Genomic DNA, 24,303 nt, shown 5'->3' on the forward strand with positions numbered 1-24,303 from the left:
TATTTGGTCTCAAATCCCACTGAAACATAACAGAACAGTGGGATTTGTAAGGGCTACAAGGACTTTAGGTTAGTTTTTTTGGTAAGAATTAGAGCAAAAGGTACTTCTTTATTATGCTGGAATCCCCTGTTCTCAGGAAGAAAAAAAATGGTTTGCTTTGGGATCTGTATGCTGCCTCGTAGTTTCAACTTGATTATGTTGCATTTGGCATGAGTGATGACATTTTTGTTTTGTCTGGTCTAGTGCACAAGCTCAGTCCAATACAATGGCATCCGATAATTTTGTTTAAAAGTTCTCCACCTTTTTTTTTTTTTTTTTTTCGAGATGGAGTCTCGCTCTGTTGCCCAGGCTGGAGTGCAGTGGTGCGATCTCGGCTCACTGCAAGCTCCACCTCCCGAGTTCACGCCATTATCCTGCCTCAGCCTCATGAGTAGCTGGGACTACAGCCACCCGCCACCACTCCTGGCTAATTTTTTGTATTTTTAGTAGAGATGGGGTTTCACTGTGTTAGCCAGGATGGTCTCGATCTCCTGACCTTGTGATCCGCCCACCTCGGCCTCCCAAAGTGCTAGGATTACAGGTATGAGCCACCGCATCTGGCCAGTTCTCCACCTTTTTGGTCTGAATCTCACTTAGGTGAGAGTGTGACCAAAACTAGGTTTTGGCACTACTTTCAGTTACCATCATTTTGAGTTTCTGGTCTCAGTATGTCATTCATAGGTGACGATGTCCTCATAGTCATGCATTTCTTTGAGATTTTGTCATTCCAGCTGAAGTGAGACCATTTGATATTCTACAGAAAGCTGCATGAAAACATTTAAAACTTTTGAGAGAATACAGTGCACCAGGGAGACTACTGTTATTACTATGAGGAAAATAATACCAAGAGTTTGAAGTATGCTTTTTAGTCAGGGCCTTCATAAACTAAACCATCTAAAAGCAAATAGAGCAAAGAATGAGCTAGAAAAAGAATCTACTAGTTTCAACCAAGGAGCTTGTTAATTCCCTACAGCTAAATCTCTATAATACCCCATATATTTATACATGTACAACAGGAAGTGTCAGGAACTCTACAGATTATTTTGTGTTATACCAGTAAGTATTCCAGAGCGATTGTATTATTTAGCATAACTTTAGCAAGATACTTTTTAAAAGTCTGTTGTAAATCCACAGCATTTGCAGTAGAATCTGATATAAAGCCTATTAGGAGGGACAAATTTCTATTCATTGCGTCATTTATTCCAAATCACAGATAAAGGAAGCTAACAAATGATTCCCACCTTGAAGGGTGAAGGCCTCCTGGCAATGTTCTATTTAACCTAGAATGTAGGTTAACAGGAATGGACCAATGTTCTGTTTCTGACTGATGATGAATCAACAAATGCACCATTAAATTCCTCACCCACACTGACTTTTCATTTTCTTTCTTTTTTTTTTTTTTTTTGATGGAGTCTCGCACTGTCGCCAAGGCTGCAGTGCAGTGGCATGATCTCAGCTCACTGAAAGCTCCATCTCCCGGGTTCACGCCATTCTCCTGCCTCAGCCTCCTGAGTAGCTGGGACTAGAGGTGCCCGCCATCACACCTGGTTAATTTTTTTGTATTTTTAGTAGAGACGGGGTTTCACCATGTTAGCCAGGATGGTCTCGATGCCCTGACCTCGTGATCTGCCTCCCTCGGCCTCCCAAAGTGCTGGGATTACAGGCGTGAGCCACCGTGCCCCGCCTGGCTTTTCATTTTCTATACATCAAGGTATAAGTTTGCTCATGTGTAAGGTTGGCTGTGAAATCTTCCACAAATAAAAGTACGCCCCCTGGGTGCACACAAGATCTCTTTTCCAATTCTACTGTTCATAGGGGCATGAACAAGGAAAAACTTAAGAGAGGTAAGAGGCTCATGATAGCAGAGAAGTCTTGACTTGTTATCTTAGGAAAGCTGTCCATGTCTAGAATGCTATGTGCTTCCAGGGACAAACTCCCCCTGTAACCTTTACCTCAAAGCCTCCATTGGGTGCCCAGTTCTGAGAGTCTGGAAGGGCCCTTCTGAGTTGTGATATTATAGACCCCAGTTTCAAGGTCCTGAAGTTTTGCTCTAGTTTAAGTGGAAAGGGCAGCCTTTCTCTGATGTTGTTTCCAGAAGACTCAATCTTTGGGTTCTAGATTGTTAGGGGTTTAATTGTCCTCATTTGGTAGATCATGAAAAGCTTTCTTTACCTGGTGAAAATACACTTAGGCATAATGCATTAAAGCCTTGCATCATTTATTCATATCAGAATTTAGAAGTAGAAGATACATGAGGTTCTATTATTAGAAGCATAGGCCTTCCAGTGACTATTTCATAAGGGTTCAACTTATGTTTTCCACTGGAAGTGGATCTCATTGTCATCAGTCTGCGTTACCTTTGACCAGGCTATCTAGTCCATTCAGTTAGCTTTGCCTAATATTATTGTATCTGCAATACCTTATTTAACTATTTTACAACTTGCCAGTGAAACAAGTACATTTATTGCTGGAGATTTCTCCAGTAATGCACCATGAAAGAAGTATATTTCCTAATAACTTTTTAGCAACTGTTATAGCATCACCCTTCTTGCATGGGAAAGCTTTTATACAACCAGAAAACATGCATTGAAAATGACAAGTGGGCCAGGTGCGGTGGCTCACACCTGTAATCCCAGCACTTTGGGAGGCCGAGGCGGGCGGATCACGAGGTCAGGAGATTGAGACCATCCTGGCTAACACAGTGAAATCCCGTCTCTACCAAAAATACAAAAAATTAGCTGGGTGCTGTGGTGGGCACCTGTAGTCTCAACTACTCGGGAGTCTGAGGCAGGAGAATGGCATGAACCCAGGAGGTGGAGCTTGTAGTGAGCCGAGATCGTGCCACTGCACTCCAGCCTGGACGACAGAGCGAGACTTCATCTCAAAAAAAAAAATAAATAAAAGAAAAAATAAAAAGAAAATGATAGGTGAATGAAAACCCACCATTAAATGTTAAAATGCTACCATGAGGTAGCAGAAATGTACCCGACATTTTGATTGTATTCCCAGGATTATGAGTTTGACAAACCAAACATTGGTCATAAAACATTTCAGCAATTTAGAACAGTCATCACACCAATATACACATTTTCTATTTGGATCATTGTATTGCTTCCATGATGAGTCAGGAAAGGCATAGCTTTTAGTAATGGAAGCTTTAACCAGAAAGGACCAGATGGTGATCTAAGCTCTCCATTAACCCATGCTTAACACTGAATTTATATCCTTTTAAATACTAGTTTTATTTCTCCAATTCAGGTGCCTAGGTAATTGTACCTGAATTGGAGAAACAGACTGGTATTTAAGAGGATATAAATTTAATAACCCAATCTAATAATTGGGATATCATAGGTAATTTGACTTGGACCATGGAGTTCATTTGAACTGCAAATCACATTTCAGTATTGGCTGATTTAGCATGAAAATCTGGCAGAGTATTCCTTTGGTATTAATTCTTTTCCTGCTGGGTTTGCAGTTTTATAATCCAGTCAATTTCTTCATTAGAGTTCTGGGAATTTTTACCCAATCCAAATGATATGATCCTAAAGTTATCCAAAACCTGTATTCCAGAATGGTCGTCAGGGGTCTTTCCAGGAACCTCCTTAAAGATACAATATTCTAGGATTTTACTTGCTTGTAAGCTTTCAGAAAATGCATTAGAATTAAGCAACTGGCCAGGCGTGGTGGCTCACGCCTGTAATCCTGGCACTTTGCAAGGCTGAGGTGGGCGCATGACCTAAGATCAGGAGTTCGAGACCAGCCTGGCCAACATGGTGAAACCCCATCTCTACTAAAAATACAAAAATTAGCCGGGCATGGTGCCAGGTGCCTGTAATCATAGCTACTCAGGAGGCTGAGGCAGGAGAATTGCTTGAACCCAGGAGACCGAGGTTGCAGTGAGCTGAGATCATCCAGGGCCCTCCAGCCTAGGTGACAGAGCAAGACTCTGTCTCAAACAAACAAACAAACAAAAGAATTAAGTAATTAACTGTGGAAATAAAATGGTCTTAAAAGATAACTTAAATGGTCTTAAAAATAACTTAAAAGATGAAATTCACAAGAAAATTTTATTTCTATGGCCTATAATAATTTAACATAATAACCATAATTATGACTGAAAACATACCAAGACATATCAGAATTTTAGGAACCTCATACAATTTTGGAACATATATTGATAACATTTTCACAAAATATAACTCAAAGAAGGTTAAACCTTTCTTATTTGACAATCCTTTCCATGTAATTTAACATATCAAATAAATCTGTTTATTCTCTCTTTAGGAGGCTTCAAGGGTCTTCTGTAACATCCCAAAGTTAGTTTTCAGTCAAAAAGATTTAATTTTAAATTTGATTTTAGAAAGCTTGTCAAATACGTCAAAGGTTTAAAACAAAACAGGATCAAAGATCACTGTAAAATAATAGTGATTAATTTAGCCTAAGTGACAATTTAAAGTTTTTAAAAAGCAATACTCTGGTTTCTCTTCAGATCATATAAATGTTTCGCCTTTTAAAGTTTTTAAAAAGTGAAAATCTTCATTCTTTCATAGAGAGGAAACTCAGTTTTCCAATCAAGAGACCTAAAAAAGACAGCATGAAACAGAATCTCTCTTCTTCCTTTCTTCTTTTTTTTTTTTTTTTGCATTTTACTCAAAAGGTGAACAAAGATATTTTACTGTCTCTTATTAATACTACATGAAATCCTTGTTCAAAATATAAAACCAAAACTTACTTTTGTATTAGTGTGTTATCAATACTGAAGCTAACTTTAGCAATCTTAGCAAATCCATTCAATCTCAATCAGCTTTTGACCACACAAGATTTCAGTAAACCTTTTATAATTTTCTACAGAACTTCTTTCTATTCTCTTTCTCTTTTCAACTTTCTATATTCACTTAATTTTATCTGTCATTTTTATTCCTTTATTTTGAAACAAACTTTAAATAACTTCTCTTCTAGACAAAATTATTTGTTTCTCAACAAGCACATATTTTCATGCCTTTACAATGTTCCTCACCAAAAACATATATTGCTTTTCTTTATACACTCTGTATACAGAATTATTTCTCTAGTAAACAATTGTAAATCTAGTAGTTTTAATTACATATATTAGCTACAAATTCAACTTAGTAACCCTAATTTCTAGTGAAATTCTAGGAAGTAAGTAATTTTGAACTGTTTTATATCAGTATTTGTAGATGAAAACCATTTCATAATTGTTAAGAAAGAAGTTTCCTGGCAATTTTTTAATTAGCTAATCTAGATATATTTAGCTTTTCTATACCATATAAATATAAGATGCAAAGTATATAAACAAACATATGTTTAATAATTAATGTTTCAGTATTTTAACTTAGAAATGACTTGACATTTTATGACCACCTATTACTTGATTTAACATAACATGAAAACTGAAAAGAACTGTGAAACTATGGCCAGGCACAGTGGCTCACGCCTGTAATCCGAGCACTTTGGGAGGTCGAGGGGGGTGGATCACCTGAGGTCGGTAGTTTGAGACTAGCCTGACCAACATGGAGAAACCCTGTCTCTACTAAAAATACAAAATTAGCCAGGTGTGGTGGCTCAAGCCTGTAATCCCAGCTACTTGGGAGGCTGGGGCAGGAGAATCGCTTGAACCTTGGAGGCAGAGGTTGCAGTGAGCTGAGATCATGCCATTGCACTCCAGCCTGGGCAACAAGAGCAAAACTCCATCACACACACACAAAAAAGAATTGTGAAACTATGACACTGGTACCCTCCCTGACATCTTCTCTGGTTATACTGGGTCCCAAGTACTCATGTGGTTGACTAGGATGACTAGGAAGGGTGGGAATCACCTAGGTCCTGAATTTACACACTGTCTATAGAGCTCAGGATAGAGGACACAGCTGGGAAGAGGATCCCTGGAGGATTCAACGCCTCCCTGAACGGCCAGAAGGCAAAGCTGCACCAGGGAGGAAGGGGCCATTTTGGGCTTTACTCTGCCATCTAGGCACTGAGAACATATCCCCAGGGCTCAGCATGGCCACTTGTCAAGCCCCGGAATCCAAAGGCTCAAAACCAAACACACAGTAAGATGCGTGTTTCAAGGAAGCCCAGCAACCAGCTCTTACAACTTTAGCTTACAAACAAATCAAGTAAGTATCAAAAATATTACAGAAGCAGCAATTTCATAACATTAAAACAGGTATCAGAGACAGCATAAACCTCTCTGACCAGTATTTGAAGATAAAGAAGCCTGAATTATACTAAACTGACAATTCTGAATTCATTCTTATTTTATTTTACTAACAATTTAAAAACCAGCTTTATTTACAAAATACTATCACATAGCATAACACATATAGACATATAGAAATACAGACAGACAGAAGCAGGTCTTTTTTTTTTTTTTTTTTTTTTTTCTTTGAGACAGAGTCTCACTCTGTCGCCCAGGCTGGAGTGCAGTGGTGCAATCTCAGCTCACTGTAACCTCTGCCTCCCAGGTTCAAGTGATTCTCCTGCCTCAGCCTCCCAAGTAGCTGGGACTACAGGCATGTACCACCACGCCCGGCTAATTTTTTGTATTTAGTAGAGATGGGGTTTCACCATGTTGGTCAGGCTGGTCTTGAACTCCTGACCTCAGGTGATCCACCAGCCTCAGCCTCCCAAAGTGGTGGGATTACAGGCGTGAGCCACTGTGCCCAACAGAAGCAGGTCTTATAACTTTCATAAAGAATTCTCATTTGCTGGCTTTCAAACAGTTTTTTTTTCCATTCAGACTATCAATCTTCCAGTGACTTGTTTTATTGCCCTCAGTAACTGTCAGCTAAGCAACTCTAAATTTGCATTTCTAACAAGATGACTCTTAGGTGAAACAAGGGAGAAAGTTTATATCTCAAAATCACGGAGGTAGGCCTCGGGCCTAAATATTGTACCATCATTTGTCTAAACCAAGGGAAAAGGGTAGAGGTAAGGCCCAGTTAAAATTATAAGAAAAAGTTAAATGGGAGAGTTCCCTGACCCCCCTTTGCAGGATGTGTGACAGGGGTGTGGCTCATCTGTTTGGCCACCCATGCTCAAACCCCTTATTGGAGGGGGAGCAGATGGGCAGGTGCAGGAGCCAGGGTGAGTGTTTTTGGGCTCCAGCCCCACGGTAGCATCTGGGGGTGGGTGCCTGCAACTCCCAGAGCCCAAGTGAGGATGTTACACTGCTCTTTTAGCCCTGCCATCTTCAGACTGCTTAAGTGTTAACGAGCTCAATGCCCTCTTGGTACCTGGGTCCTTGTCCAGCATCCAGGAAGAATCCGGTCACACGGACAAATTGAAGGATGGTAAATGTGGGGGACTTTTTTTCCAGGTGTAGGTGGCTCTCAGCAGGATGGACAGGGAGCTGGAGAGCGGATGGAGTAGGGTGGGAAGATGAACTTCCCCTGGAGTTCAGCCATCCTGCAGCTGATCTCCTCTCCGACTGTCCCCAGCTGAACTCCTCTCGACCTTCAGACACTCCTTCTCTGTTGTGCCACTCTTCTGCTCCTTTGCTCTTCTGCTCATGGGGCTTTGGGTTTGGGGTTTATATGGGTACAGAATAGGGGGGTGTGGTAGGACAAAAGGCAATATTTGGGCAAGAAAACGGAAATGCCTGTTCCCATTTAGGGCTGTGGGTTTCCAGGCTTGAGGGTGGGGCCTTGACTGGGGAACCGCCCTCTTCTACCGAGTATTTCCCTGTCTCCTGTCCATATCAAAGGTACCTTAAACAAAAGACTTGTTATGTAAATTTGAAACAATGGTAAGAGTTTCTAGTGACTCAGGCCTCTGTCTCTTCTTGGTGTACAGAGGAACACACCCTTAAAAATGAAGACGTTTGGCCAAGAGTGGTGGCTCATGCCTGTAATCCCAGCACTTTGGGAGGCCGAGGTGGGTGGATCACGAGGTCAGGAGATGGAGACCATCCGGGCTAACATGGTGAAACCCCGTCTCTACTAAAAATACAAAAAATTAGCCGGGCGTGGTGGTGGGCGCCTGTAGTCCCAGCTACTCGGGAAGCTGAGGCAGGAGAATGGCGTGAACCCGGGAGGCAGAGCTTGCAGTGAGCTGAGATCGCGTCACTGCACTCCAGCCTGGGCGACAGAGCGAGACTCCATCTCAAAAAAAAAAAAGAAGACATTTTTCATAGATGTAAATTTTTTTTACAAAAGGATTTCAAAATAGCTAGCTAAATGCCAGGAAGTTATATTTTGGAGACTGATTTAGTTTAATAGTACATCTTTTTAACTTAGCTACTGTTTCTTAGCTAAAATTACTGAGTTCAGAGTGGAGCTCATTAAGAAGAAAAAGCACAAAGAACCAATTCTCTATGCCTGGACTCAGCACTCAGCATAGATAGCTTTGGAAAAAAAAAAAAAAAAAGAAGCAAACTTACTTTACCAGGGGCCTACCTTTTATAAATACTTCATCCAAGATAGCTTTTTTTCAGCCTTTAGGGTATAATAGTAACTAAGCAAAAGGTTAGTAGATTTAATTTTTCTTACCAATCAGTTGCTTAAGCCTTTTATTTGCCTCATATAGTCTTTTTAAAGAGGCAATAAAATACTGAAATCTTTTTAGAAGCTTCTGCACATCAATAAGCCTCCCTGCATGAGACAAATTTGGGAACCTTCATTTTAAATGCATTTCTTAAAGTGCAGTGTTGTTCATTTGGAATGTTTCATAGTGATTTGGTATTGATATGGACAGGAGGCAGGGAAATACTGGGTAGAAGAGGGTGGTTGTCTGGCAGAGGTCCCACTCTCAAGCCTGGAAACCTGCAGCCCTAAATGGGAACAGGCATTCCTGTTTTCATGCCCAAATGTTGCCTTTTGGCCTGCCACATCCCCCTATCCTGTACTCATAAAAACCCTAAACCTCAGCCTCCAGAAGCTGACAAGCAGAGAAACAGATGAGTGGCCGAGTGGCATGGCAGAGAAGGAGAGAAGGAGCATCTGAACATTGAGAGGAGTCTGGCTGGGGATGTTTGGAGAGGAGATCAGCTGTGGGACAGCCAAACTCCAGGGGAAGATCATCTTTCTACTCCATCCCCTTTCCAGCTCCCCATCTGTCCTGCTGAAAGCCACCTCCACCACTCAATAAAATCCCCGCATTCACCATCCTTCAAGTCTGTGTGACCTGATTCTTCCTGGACGCTGGACAAAGACCCAGGTACCAAGAGGGCAGGGTGTAAAAGGCTGTCACCCTGGCTCTCCACTGAGCTGGTTTAATACTTAGCCATCTGCAGGTGGCAACTGCTAAGAGAGCATTAATTGTAACACACCCCTAGATGCTACCGTGGGGCTGGAGCCCAAAAGTGCTTTCCCTGGCTCTTGCACCTGCCTGTCTGTGTACTCCTCCTCCTGAAAGGGGTTTGAGTGTGCAGCAGCTGAGCAAACGAGTCACACCCCCATCACGAGTCCCGTGAAGGGCTCAGGGAACTCTCCCATTACATTATCTTTAGTAAGATTTCAACATTTTTGTAAGCATTTGCTGCTTCCAGGGTCTAATACTTACACATGCAATTGTAAGTATAATTGGAAGGTGGAGTAATCAGTTTTTTAGAAATTAAGAATCCCATTTTTATGTCAAATCTTGGTTTTGGCTCTTAAATCCCCCTGATCAACTTATCCAATGATTTTTTCCTACCTAAACATGCCAGAGAAAAAAATCAAAAGAGACAGAACACAAAAATCTCTGCAAATTTCCAAAAATTGAAGTTTGCACCCCCTGTAGCATTGCCATTTACTGCCAGTTTCTGTTTCATCCAGTCAGATATCCAAGGCCTCTAACTGGATCCAAGCCAGTTACTTTTCAGCTCGAGTCTAGGATTAGACTAGACTAATTAGTCTAGTGTGAATCCCAGCGTGATTGACACAGAAGATGGGTGATTTCTGCATTTCCAGCTGAGCTACCTGGTTCATCTAATTAGTCTAATCCTAGACTCTGTCCAGTTTCTGTCCTAAGGTCCTAATCCAGTTCAGATAAAAAATTTGCTCAAACTAATTTAGATAGCTCAAAACACAAGTCCACGGAGCTTTGGAATCCAAGAGTGAACTTACCCACAATCACCAGTTTCTGCAAGAGAGCAATGAACACAATGGGCCTGGTAGGTATTTTTCTTGGTCTCTTGGTGCTTCTGGGGGTTGCAAGAGGCTCTACTTTGGGTTCCACTTCTAATGCCATCTGTTAAAACAAAACAAAACAAAAAACTTTAGACAAGTTAAATTTAACAGAGTTTAATTGAGCAAAGAATAATTTCAGATTGGGTAGCCCCCCAAACCAGAATAGATTCAGAGCTACTCCAGCACTGACACATGGTCAGAGAGGATTTATGGACAGAAAAAAGAAAATGACATACAGAAAACAGAAGTGAAGTAGAGAAACTAGATTGGTTACAGCTGGGCATTTGCCTTATTTGAATATGGTTTGAAGAGTTGGCTTCCTTTGATTGGCTGAAATTTGGTGATTGATATAAGAAAATAGGTTACAGTCTGTTGAAACATCCAGTTAGGTTATAGTTCCCTATGTGTGGAGAAACCTGTAGACTGAACTTAAAATATGTAAGGAGGCAGCCTTAGGCTAAACTTTCTTAACACCTGTCTCTATCTTCCTGTTCCTCTGTCTGGTCATTATAAGGCAGTATCTTGAGACTAAATATTCACCGGCAGCAAGTAAAGGTAGTGTCCCAGCACCTCACCAGCTCTGTAACTATAGGAAAGTCACCAGTTTGGACTATTTCTCACTCATGTGCCTTGAACCTCAACCCTGCCTTCCCACACAACCACCATCATTGTTCCTCTAGCTTTTGGATGTGGTTGGGGAATAAGGAAGTGGCCTAAAGACATACCTGTTTTCAAATCCTGGCTGTTCCTCACTAGCTGTGTGACTCTATCAGCCACATAGCTTCTGTAAGTCATGATCTCTCTTCTGTAAAAATGGATAAAAATGTGGCCTCATGCGTCTAAGGATTAACTGTAGTAATGTACATAAAGCTCTTAGCACAGGGCCTGAAACTTGCTAGGTGCTGGTAAGTAGTAGCTAATAACTTTATTATTTATATCGTGTTTATGAATGGGCTATTAGTAAACAAGTTTATTCAAAAGGCCACGTGGTTCACAAAGAAGATTATTTATAGAGTGCAATTCAATTGCTTACAGGGCTTATGAGGACATGAAAGATTGAGTTTTTTTTTTTTTTTCTTCTGTGCCACGGTGGCCATAGACTTCTTTTTCTGGCCATGCATTAGGACAAGCATCACGTAGATAAGAAGTGATGGGAGAGATCCGTTCTAAGACGGCTGAATAGGAACAGCTCTGGTGTGCAGCTCCCAGTGTGACTGACGCAGAAGATGGGTGATTTCTGCATTTCCAGCTGAGCTACCTGGTTCATCTCATTGGGACTGGTTGGATAGTGGGTGCAGCCTACAGAGGGCCAGCCAAAGCAGGGCAGGGCATTGCCTCACCCAGGAAGCGCAAGGGGTCAGGGGATTTCCCTTTCCTAGCCAAGGGAAGCCGTGACAAACTGTACCTGGAAAAACAGGAAACTCCCGCCCATATATTGCGCTTTTCCCAGTTTTTCTTAGCAACTGGCAGACAGATTCTCCCCTGTGCCTGGCTCGGCAGGTCCCACGCCCACGGAGCCTTGCTCACTGCTAGTGCAGCAGTCTGAGATTGAACTGCGAGGTGGCAACCTGGCTGGGGGAGGGGTGTCTGCCATTGCTGAGGCTTGAGTAGGTAAACAAAGCGTCAGGGAAGCTCAAACTGGGCAGAGCCCACCACAGCTCAGCAAGGCCTCTGCTTCTATAGATTCCACCTCTGTGCGCAGGGCATAGCTGAACAAAAGGCAGCAGATAGCTTCTGCAGACTTAAATGTCCCTGTCTGACAGCTCTGAAGAGAGCAGTGGTTCTCCCAGCATGGCATTTGAGCTCTGAGAATGGACAGATTGCTTCCTCAAGTGGGTCCCTGATGCCCGTGTAGCCTAACTGGGAGACATCTCCCAGTAGGGGCCGATAGACACCTCATATAGGCAGGTGCCCCTCTGGGACGAAGCTTCCAGAGGAAGGACCAGGCAGCAATATTTGCTGTTCTGCAATATTTGCTGTTCTGCAGCCTCTACTGATGACACCCAGGCAAACAGGGTCTGGAGTGGAACTCCAGCAAACTCCAACAGACCTGCAGCTGAGGGACCTGTTAGAAGGAAAACTAACCAATGGAAAGGAATAGCACCAACATCACCAAAATGGACATCTACACCAAAGCCCCATCTGTAGGTCACCAGTATCAAAGACAAAAGGTAGATAAAACCACAAAGGTGGGAAGAAACCAGAACAGAAAAGTGGAAAATTCTAAAACCCAGAGTGCCTCTTCTCCAAAGGATTGCAGCTCCTCACTAGCAATGGAACAAAGCTGGACAAAGAATGACTTTGATGAGTTGACAGAAATAGGCTTCAGAAGGTCAGTAATAACAAACTTCTCTGAGCTAAAGGAGCATGTTCAAACCCATTGCAAGGAAGCTAAAAACCTTGAAAAAAGCTTAGACGAATGGCAAACTAGAATAAACAGTGTAGAGAAGACCTTAAATGACCTGATGGAGCTGAAAACCATGGCACAAGAACTTCATGATGCATGCACAAGCTTCAACAGACAATTCGATCAAGTGGAAGAAAGGGTATCAGTGATTGAAGATCAAATTAATGAAATAAAGTAAGAAGACAGGGTTAGAGTAAAAAGAAACAAACAAAGCCTCTAAGAAATATGGGGCTATGTGAAAAGACCAAATCTACGTTTGACAGGTGTACCTGAAAGTGACAGGGAGAATGGAACCAAGATGGAAAACACTCTTCAGAATATTATCCAGGAGAACTTACCCAACCTAGCAAGGCAGGCCAACATTTAAATTCAGGAAATACAGAGAACACCACAAAGATACTCCTCGAGAACAGCAACCCCAAGACACATAGTAGTCAGATTCACCAAGGTCGAAATGAAGGAAAAAATGTTAAGGGCAGCCAGAGAGAAAGATCTGGTTACCCACAAAGGGAAGCCCATCAGACTAACAGCAGCTCTCTCGGCAAAAACCCTACAAGCCAGAAGAGAGTGGGGGCCAATATTCAACATTCTTAAAGAAAAGAATTTTCAACCCAGAATTTCATATCCAGCCAAATTAAGCTTCATAAGTGAAAGAGAAACAAAATCCTTTATAGACAAGCAAATGCTGAGAGATTTTGTCACCACCAGGCCTGCCTTACAAGAGCTCCTGAAGGAAGCACTAAACATGGAAAGAAACAACTGGTACCAGCCACTACAAGAACATGCGAAATTGTAAAGACCATCGATGCTATGAAGAAACTGTATCAATTAACAGGCAAAATAACCAGCTAACATCATAATGACAGGATCAAATTCACACATAACAATATTAACCTTAAATGTAAATGGGCTAACTGCCCCAGTTGAAAGACACAGATTGGCAAATTGGATAAGGAATCAAGACCCATCAGTGTGCTGTATTCAGGAGACCCATCTCATGTGCAGAACATAGGCTCAAAATAAAGGGATGGAGGAAGATCTAACAAGCAAACGGAAAGCAAAAAAAAAGCAGGGGTTGCAATCCTAGTCTCTGATAAAACAGACTTTAAACCAACAAAATCAAAAGAAACAAAGAAGGCCATTACATAATGGTAAAGGGATCAATTCAACAAGAAGAGCTAACTATCCTAAATATATATGCACCCAAGACAGGAGCACCCAGATTCATAAAGCAAGTCCTTAGAGACCTACAAAGAGACTTAGACTCCCACACAGTAATAATGAGAGACTTTAACACCCCACTATCAATATTAGACAGATCAACGAGACAGAAGATCAATAAGGATATCCAGGACTTGAACTCAGCTCTGCACCAAGCAGACCTAATAGACATCTACAGAATGTTCCACCCCAAATCAACAGAATATACATTCTTCTCAGCAACACATAGCACTTATTCTAAAATTGACTACATAATTTGAAGTAAAGCACTCCTCAGCAAATGTAAAAGAACAGAAATCACAACAAACTGTCTCTCAGAACACAGTGCAATCAAATTAGAACTCAGGATTAAGAAACTCACTCAAAACCTCACAACTACATGGAAACTGAACAACCTGTTCCTGAATGACTATTGGGTAAATAATGAAATGAAGGCAGAAATAAAGATGTTCTTTGAAACCAGTGAGAACAAAGACACAACGTACCAGAATCTCTGGGACACATTTAAAGCAGTGTGTAGAGGGAAATTTATAGCACTAAATGCCCACAAGAGAAAGCAAGAAAGATCCAAAATCGACACCTGAACATCACAATTAAAAGAACTAGAGAAGTGGCCAGGCACGGTGGCTCATGCCTGTAATCCCAGCACTTCGGGAGGCCAAGGCGAGCCGATCACCAGGTCAGGATATCAAGACCATCCTGGCTAACATGGTGAAACCCCGTCTCTACTAAAACATACAAAAAATTAACTGGGCGTGGTGGCGGGCACCTGTGGTCCCAGCTACTCGGGAGGCTGAGGCAGGAGAATGGTGTGAACCCAGGAGGCAGAGCTTGCAGTGAGCTGAGATCAAGCCACTGCACTCCAGCCTGGGCAACAAAGTGAGACTCTGTCTCAAAAAAAAAAAAAAAAAAAAAAAAAAGAACTAGAGAAGCAAGAGCAAACAAATTCAAAAGCTAGCAGAAAGGCAAGAAATAACTAAGATCGGAGCAGAACTGAAGGAGATAGAGACACAAAAAAAAACCCTTCAAAAATCAATGATTCCAGGAGCTGGTTTTTTGAAAAGATCCACAAAACTGATAGACCACTAGCAAGACTAATAAAGAAGAAAAGAGAGTAGAATCAAATTGATACAATAAAAAATGATAAAGGGGATATCACCACCGATCCCACAGAAATACAAACTACCATCAGAGAATACTATAAACACCTCTATGCAAATAAACTAGAAAATCTAGAAGAAATGGATAAATTCCTGGACACATATACCCTCCCAAGACTAAACCAGGAAGAAGTTGAATCTCTGAATAGATCAATAACAGGCTCTGAAATTGAGGCAATAATTAATAGCCTAACAACCAAAAAGAAATCCAGGAGCAGACAGATTCACAGCCAAATTCTACCAGAGGTACAAAGAGGAGCTGGTACTACTCCTTCTGAAACTATTCCAATCAATAGAAAAAGAGGGAATCCTCCCTACCTCATTTTATGAGGCCAGCATCATCATGCTACCAAAGCCTGGCAGAGACACAACAAAAAAAGAGAATTTTAGACCAATATCCCTGATGAACATCAATGCGAAAATCCTCAATAAAATACTGGCAACCTGAATCCATCAGCACATCAAAAAGCTTATCCACCACAATCAAGTTGGCTTCATCCCTGGGATGCAAGGCTGGTTCAACATACACAAATCAATAAATATAATCCATCACATAAACAGAACTAATGACAAAAAACACATGATTGTCTCAATAGATGCAGAAAAGGCCTCGACAAAATTCAACAGCCCTTCATGCTAAAAACTCTCAATAAATTAGGTATTGATGGAACATATCTCAAAATAATAAGAGCTATTTATGAGAAACCCATAGCCAATATCATACTGAATGGGCAAAAACTGGAAGCATTCCCTTTGAAAACTGGCACAAGACAGGGATGCCCTCTCTCACCACTCCTATTCAACATAGTGTTGGAAGTTCTGGCCAGGGCAATCAGGCAAGAGAAAGAAATAAAGGGTATTCAATGAGGAAAAGAGGAAGTCAAATTGTCCCTGTTTGCAGATGACATGATTGTATATTTAGAAAACCCCATCATCTCAGCCCAAAATCTCCTCAAGGTGATAAGCAACTTGAGCACAGTCTCAGGATACAAAATCAATGTGCAAAACTCACAAGCATTCTTATACACCAATAACAGACAAACAGCCAAATCATGAGTGAACTCCCACTCACAATTGCTACAAAGAAAATAAAATACCTAGGAATATGACTTATAAGGGATGTGAAGGACCTCTTCAAAGAGAACTACAAACCACTGCTCAACGTAGTAAAAGAGGACACAAACAAATGGAAGAACATTCCATGCTCATGGATAGGAAGAATCAATATCGTGAAAATGGCCATACTTCCTGAGGTAATTTATAGATTCAATGCCATCCCCATCAAGCTACCAATGACTTTCTTCACAGAATTGGAAAAAAGTACTTTAAAGTTCATATGGAACCAAAGAAGAGCCCACATTGCCAAGACAATCCTAAGGAAAAAGAACAAAGCTGGAGGCATCATGCTACCTGACTTCAAACTATACTACAAGGTTACGGTAACCAAAACAGCATGCTACTTGTACCAAAACAGATATATAGACCAATGGAACAGAACAGAGGCCTCAGAAGTAACAGCACACAACTACAACCATCTGATCTTTGACAAACCTGACAAAAACAAGAAATGGGGAAAGGATTCCCTGTTTAATAAATGGTGCTGGGAAAACTGGGTAGCCATGTGTAGAAAGCTGAAACTGGATCTCTTCCTTACACCTTACACAAAATTTAATTCAAGATGGATTAAAGACTTAAATGTTAGACCTAAACCATAGAAATCCTAGAAGAAAACCTAGACAATACCATTCAGGATACAGGCATGGGCAAGGACTTCATGACTAAAACACCAAAAGCAATGGCAACAAAAGCCAAAGTTGACAAATGTGATCTAATTAAACTAAAGAGCTTCTGCACAGCAAAAGAAACTACCATCAGAGTGAACAGGCAACCTACAGAATGGGAGAAAATGTTTGCAATCTACCCATCTGACAAAGGGCTAATATCCAGAATCTACAAAGAACTCAAACAAATTTACAAGAAAAAAGCAAACAACCCCATCCAAAACTGGGCAAACAATATGAACAGACACTTCTCAAAAGAAGACATCTATGCAGCCAACAGACACATTAAAAAATGCTCATCATCACCAGTCATCACAGAAATGCAAATCAAAACCACAATGAGATACCATCTCATGCCAGTCAGAATGGCGATCATTAAAAAGTCAGAAAACAACTGATGCTGGAGAGGATGTGGAGAAATAGGAACACTTTTACACTGTTGGTGGGACTGTAAACTAGTTCAACCATTGTGGAAGACAGCATGGTGATTCCTCAAGTATCTAGAACTAGAAATACCATTTGACCCAGCAATCCCATTACTGGGTATATACCCAAAAGATTATAAATCATGCTGCTATAAAGACACATGCACACTTATGTTTATTGCAGCACTATTCATAATAGCAAAGACTTGGAACCAACCCAAATGTCCATCAATGATAGACTACATTAACAAAATGTGGCACATATACACCATGTAATACTACGCAGCCATAAAAAAGGATAAGTTCATGTCCTTTGCAGGGACATTGATGAAACTGGAAACCATCATTCTCAGCAAACTATCATGAAGACAGAAAACCAAACACCACATGTTCTCACTCATAGGTGGGAATCGAACAATGAGATCACTTGGACAAAGGGCCGGGAACATCACACACTGGAGCCTGTCGGGGGGTGGGGGGCTTGGGGAGGAATAGCATTAGGAGAAATACCTAACGTAAATGACGAGTTGATGGGTACAGCAAACTAACATGGCACATGTATACCCATGTATCAAACCTGCACGTTGTGCATAGGTACCCTAGAACTTAAAGTATAATAAATAGTAACAAGAAGTGATGTCTGAGACCAAGCCCAGAAAAATCATTTTTCCTAGACAAATGCTTTCTAGGAAAACTTATCTCACCAGCCAATGAACTATATATTAGAAATGATTTTTCTAGGAAATGATTTCCTACACCTTTTCTAGAAAAATCATTTCCCAGAATAATCATTTCAAGTTTTGAAGATAAATCACTTTTTTTCCTCTAAGTATCTTCCATCATAAATTGGAAATAAGTCTCAGATAGTATTCTTTTTCTCAGTGCCTGTGGAGGTAGTTTTAGTTGCAAGAAGCCAACTCATTTAGCTTACCTCAAGCTAGGATTCCTAAGGCAGTAAGAGGGAGAGGAATCCTGGTCAGGATTCACAGAGCTCTACACAGTCCTGCCTCTCTACCCTAACATGACTCAGCTGCTCTTTCCTTCTCTCTACCGCAATTGCCAGTTGTTTAAATCTTTCCCATTTCAAATTTCCAAAGAAAAAACCCAACTGGTCTAGTGACCACTTTCTCTGTTTGAGGAGAGCTTCTTATGGCATAGCATAGCACAGCATAGCATAGACATAGAACTCAAAATTACAAGCCCCAGATTCTTTGATTCAGTCTTGCACGGAGGTAGAGTTGATGATAGAGGCGGCAAGTCTCAATCAATGTTGAATGAAGAGGCTTGAAGGAACAAAGAGATTCTTGGCCCTGGTGTTCTGTATTCTCCAAGAGCTACCGTTTGCATTTCCTTTTGAGTCAGGAAAGAAGTTTGAAGTCCATTTATAAATCAGCTGCCTTAAAGACACTCAGATTATAAGGCTGAAATGAGGATGCTTTCTTTTCAGATTTCTATCTTTTCTGTATCTTGTCATCATAAAATGAGTGCTGCATAGTCGATTTGCAAGATATTTCCCAAAAACTCTATTTTACCTACAATGGTTTATTGCATATTGCCCTTAACCTTGATTTTATGATACTTGTTTACCTACTGAATGTGGGAAATTACAGTTACTCTTGTGTGTTTGTTATGGAAAATTCTATTTAAATTTACTCATCAACCTTCTAGTAGTTAACCCTTTGACTATTGTTTTACTGATCAACAAAGAGGCCAGAGTAGCTAGAACCCAGTGAGCAAGAAGAGAGAAGTCAAGGATGAGGTTAGAGAGGTCAATGGGTAGGCACCCTTATATATTAATTCAGTCGGTATAAAAGCCTATTTAGACTCCCCTGGAGTTAGGAGTAGGGATGGGGAACTAACACCTGTTTTCTGTATAGCTATGATACAAATAAAGATAAATGATAGGTTTAGTCGAATAGTTTTAAAACTTCTTACCACTTTCACTGCCACTGTCCTCGTACAAGCAACTATCATCTTTGGTCTATGAATTTTTGCAAAAACCTATCTTGGCCAGGTGCAGTGACTCACGCCTGTAATTCCAGCACACTGGGAGGCCGAGGCAGGTGGATTACTTGAGCCCAGGAGTTTGAGAACAGCCTGGGCAACATGGTGAAACCCCACCTCTACTAAAATTACAAAAAATTAGCTGGGCATAGTGGTGTTTACTTGTAGTCCCAGCTACTCAGGAGGCTGAGTGGGAGAATCAACTGAGCCCGAGAACCTGAGGCTGCAGTGAGCCATGATCATGACACTGCACTCCAGCCTGAGCAACGGAACGAGACCTGTCTCAACAAAAACCAAAACAAATAAAACCTTCTATCTGATCTCTTGCTTCTTCCCTTGCCTTCTTGCAGTCTGGTCAACACAACAATCAGGGTGTGGCTGTTAAATAAGTCTGCTTTCTTTCAGTGGCTTCTCATGTCTCTCAGAGGAAAACCTCAATCCCTACATGGTCAGTGTGATGCCTGCCCCTTGACCTCTCTAACCTCATCCTTGACTTCTCTCTTCTTGCTCACTGGGTTCTAGCCACTCAGGCCTCTTTGTTGTTCTTCAGACACAGTAGGAGTCTCCTGCCTTAGGGCTCTTGTACTTCTGTTCTTGCTGTGTGGAGTGCTCCCTGTTAAGATACCTACATGGCTTCCTTCGTCTCCTTTTCAGGTCTGTACTCAGTGGTTACCTTCTCAGTGTGGCTTTCCCTGGCCACTCTGTCCCTCTCCAAGACATGAATCTCTCCACGCCCCTACGCTGCTTTATTATTTTATTTTTTTGAGGTGGAATCTCACTCTGTCACTCAGGCTGGAGTGCAGCAGCACGATCTTGGCTCACTGCAACTTCTGCCTCCCGGGTTCAAGCAATTCTCCCGTCTTAGCCTCTCAGGTAGCTAGGATTACAGGCGCGCACCACCATGCCTGGCTAATTTTTGTATTTGTAGTAGAGATGGGGTTTCGCCATGTTGGCCAGGCTAGTTTCGAACCCTTGACCTCAAGTGATCCACCCGCCTTGGCCTCCCAAAGTTCTGGGATTACAGGCATGAACCATCATGCCTGGCCTCCCTGCTTTCTTTTTCTTTTCTTTCTTTTTTTTTTTTTTTTTTTTTTTTTTTTGAGATGGAGTCTCGTTCTGTTGCCCAGGCTGGAGTGCAGTGGCGCCATCTCGGCTCACGGCAAGCTCCGCCTCCCATGTTCACGCCATTCGCCTGCCTCAGCCTCCGAGTAGCTGGGACTACAGGTGCCCGCCACCACGCCCGGTTAATTTTTTTTTTTGTATTTTTAGTAGAGATGGGGTTTCACTGTTTTAGCCAGGATGGTCTCTATCTGCTGACCTCGTGATCCGCCCACCTCGGCCTCCCAAAGTGCTGGGATTACAGGCATGAGCCACCGCGCCTGGCCCTATTTTTCTTTAGAGTAATCACCAACTAACATGTACACGTTTTACCTGCTTATGTTATCATCTGTTTTGCCTCAGTAGCAGGAGATTCCATTAGAGCAGGGATATTTTTCTCACCAGCTCCTGCCTTGTACTGCTGAATTTCTAGCACCTAGAAGAATTCCTGACACAGTTGGTATTCAATCAATGTTTGTTAAATAAATAAACGAAAATACAGATAACTTTTTCCTTAGTAGAGGATACTGGGCATCCTATTGAATAGTTGATCTTATGTTGGTGGACCCTCAAGGTCTGCGATAGGGCAGTTTATCTCACAAAGATGGCGGCTGTATCAGGATTGAGCCAAGTGGCCCAACTCCTTTGGCTAAAGATAGGGTGATTAAGTCACCACATTACGATTAAGTCAAAGTCATAGGAAAACTGTACGCAGTGAGATAATGTTGGAGTTTCCTTGGATGCTTGCTTGAAAAATGTGGGAGCATTTCAGGGTCCCTCAAGGGCATGAAATTGAGTGCACTTTTAGTCCTGCAGATAACTTTGACTGGTCACAAGCTGATTCACCAAGACCACAGGTAGATCAATTCCCATTCATTCCAACCCCTGGAGAAACAGCTTAGGACTCTTCTGATTCCAAGTCTGGAGAAAGTCTACAGAAAGGAATGTTTTAAGGGAATACAGGAGGACCTTGCTTAAAATACACTCCTTTCATAACAACTTTCATAGCCTCTAGAATGCTGCCATTAGGAATCTATTCCTATTAGAACTGGAAATGTTTTTGTTTTATATAGTATCTTCTTAAGATGCTCTTATGCCTACAGCACATAACATGTAAACAAAGACTGCACTTTGTGGAAAATGTCTATTCTTAAGAGCTACCTCTTACGAAGTTTGCAGAAATTGATCACTGACTACGTGCCTAGAAAGAGGAAAGCAAGAGAAGGTAGTTGAATACAATCAGGAGGGAAATCATCCTGAAACAATATAAGAAAACTTAACTCTCCCAAATAAATATTTCTGCACCTGATACTAGTCATAGGCATACATACAATCCAAACTGCCCTATGGGGAAAGCAAGCCATTTCTGCTGGAATTACTTTTTGATAGGCAAAAAGCAGAGAAGCCTCTTCGTGAATTTTGCTTTGGGACAATCCAGCCTGAGCGACAGAGCGAGACTCCATCTCAAAATAATAATAATAATAATAAAAATACAAAATAAATAAACCTTAGCCTCTAGATCAGAACCAACCAAGAACAAAGGCACACACATACTCTGTCACTTGTGTGTTCAGTCTTTGGTGGAATAAAAGCAGTTTCCAGCAAAGGGAATTTTTTCACATTACATAATAACTGTTTACGTCTAAGAGGTACATGTAACCCCCAGAGGCTTCTGTGTATCTTTTATGTTTTGTATTTTCACCCTGAAGACACGTCTTTGTCTCTGAACTAAAAGAGGCTGTTCCCTGTGGGATCTGAGATGAAGGAAGCCTAGAAATTGGGCACTTGGGCATAGATAGGGCCAACTATGGTAATAAGTTCTTTGGAGGCAGAGAGGGGTGTCTCTATCTCTCTCATACCAGCAGATAAGGATAGGCAGGGAAAGAGGACACCCTGGGGGATAGATAGAGAATTATCTGCAGGATGATGGATTTTGCCTAAAGAAAGGGAAAATTATTTTGTAACTTGATTCCTTGTACCTGAACCAACAGCCACCTCATTTATTTTGAGTCAAAAGTGAGATTCAAAAGCAGTATATTTGAGTAGGAAGTGGAAAAACAGTTTTCCTGGGTTGTTTAAACAATTTTGACCTTTATAATTACTTTAAAAGTAATATGTGTTTTTGCTTAAAAATTTGGAAAATGCAGGAAAGTATAAAGGAAATAAAAAATCATTCACATTCCCATCACATCTTTTTTTTTTTTTTTTTTTTTTTTTTTTGTGAAATGGAGTCTCGCTCTGTCGCCCAGGCTGGAGTGCAGTGGCGTGATCTCGGCTCACTGCAAGCTCCACCTCCCAGGTTCACACCATTCTCCTGCCTCAGCCTCCCGAGTAGCTGGGACTACAGGTGCCCATCACCATGCCCGGCGATTTTTTTTTTGTATTTTTAGTAGAGATGGGGCTTCACTGTATTAGCCAGGATGGTCTCGATCTCCTGACCCTCGTGATCTGCCCGCATTGGCCTCCCAAAGTGCTGGGATTACAGGCGTGAGCCACCACACTTGACCTGCAATCCCATCACATCTTATTTAGATGTTTATCTTTCCAATCTTTGTTCTGTTAATATACATACTTTAAAAATAATGCAATTATGTTCTATATCTTGTTTTATAATTTACTTCTTTCACTTAATTTATCATGTACTGTATATTGCCAACATCTTTGTTTTTCTAAATAATTTTTAACAGCCACATAGTATTTTAATATATGTGGGTATCAATATTTGACTATTCCCCATTTTTAGACATTTAGGTTTTTTTCTATTGCAATGTGAACATTTCCTTTAAATAAAAATAAAAAACTACACGTGCATTTTTAAATAAAGTTACATTTCTTCTTTTTGAGACCTTAACTCACTAAACATTGAAAATGTTCCTTGGCTATTGCCTGAACGCAGGAATCTTTCTTGGCTGTTTTGAAGAGGGGTTTTTAGACAGTTTTTAGGAGAGAGAGAGTTGGGGTGGGGTTATTTAGTGGGGCAGGGCATGAGGATGGTTCTTATTAGTAGTTAGTCATGGAGTTAAATCTTAATGCTTGAGATATTTAGAAGCCAAAGTTATGAGTACATGAACTCCAAGGTAGAGAGGTATGTCTGTGTGTGTGTGTGTGTGTGTGTGTGTGTGTGTGTGTGTGTGTTCACATGGTTGGCAAGTGGGATTGAGTTGCTTGGTGTAAATATGATTTCATCAGAACAAAATTAACATGCTGAGGTTGAAGGTGGGTTAGAAAAATCCTATTCTTTTTCTTTTTTTTTGAGACAGTCTCAGCTCACTGAAAGCTCTGCCTCCTGGGTTCAAGCAATTCTCCCTGCCTCAGCCTTCCAAGTAGCTGGGATTACGGGCGCCCGCCACCATGCCCGGCTAATTTTTGTATCTTTTTAGTAGAGACAGGGTTTCGCCATGTTGGCCAGGCTCGTCTTGAACTCCTGACCTTAGGTAATCTGCCCACCTCACCCTCCCAAAGTGCTGGGGTTACAAGCTTGAGCCACCGTACCTGGCCTGATAAATCCTATTCTAAATTGAATATGTGCAGGTCACTATTTTGCAAGCCACTATTTTGCTTTCACTTAGCAATTCCCTTCTTTCTTTTTCTCTCCCTCCCCCACACCTCCACTGTCACATTGCAGGTAGTGAACATCAAAACTCACAGCAGGAAAGGGATTGGAGCAACTACTTCTCTATCTAGGCCAAGGTCAGTTTGTTACACTAGACCCAGAGTTTCTTGTCTCTGGATCTAAGTGCCAGAAACTTCCTCTTTTCTGAAATATTAGAGTTCACTACTTTAGATACCTTCTTTGTTAAACTTTCCCAGGTCTCTAGTCTGAATGAATTATTCTTTCATGGGCATGCCCACTTATTTGCAATTATTCAGAATTCATTTTCTTTTGTCTTATTTTATAAAAAGTGATTTGTTTGTGTCCCCCAGTGGCTGAGTTCAAGATCCTTGTCTTCTTCATTGTCATGCTTCTTATGCCTGGCACAGAGCCCAACTTAGGTACTCAGCAAATATTTGCAATGACATCAAACAGACGAAATAAAA

At 41.3% G+C, this 24,303-nt stretch overlaps 1 long non-coding RNA gene across 1 annotated transcript in view; it reads right to left on the minus strand.

The window, feature by feature from the left end:
• Positions 1-10,112: 10,112 nt before the first annotated feature.
• Positions 10,113-24,303, minus strand: part of LOC105375416 (uncharacterized) — a 237,202-nt gene continuing 223,011 nt past the window's right edge. Inside the window, exon 3 of the long non-coding RNA XR_001745293.1 lies at positions 10,113-10,230. This is a non-coding gene — a long non-coding RNA (uncharacterized LOC105375416). The remainder of the gene's footprint in view (positions 10,231-24,303) is intronic.

This window comes from Homo sapiens, chromosome 7 (assembly GCF_000001405.40).
Source record: "Homo sapiens chromosome 7, GRCh38.p14 Primary Assembly".
Taxonomy (NCBI): domain Eukaryota; kingdom Metazoa; phylum Chordata; class Mammalia; order Primates; family Hominidae; genus Homo; species Homo sapiens.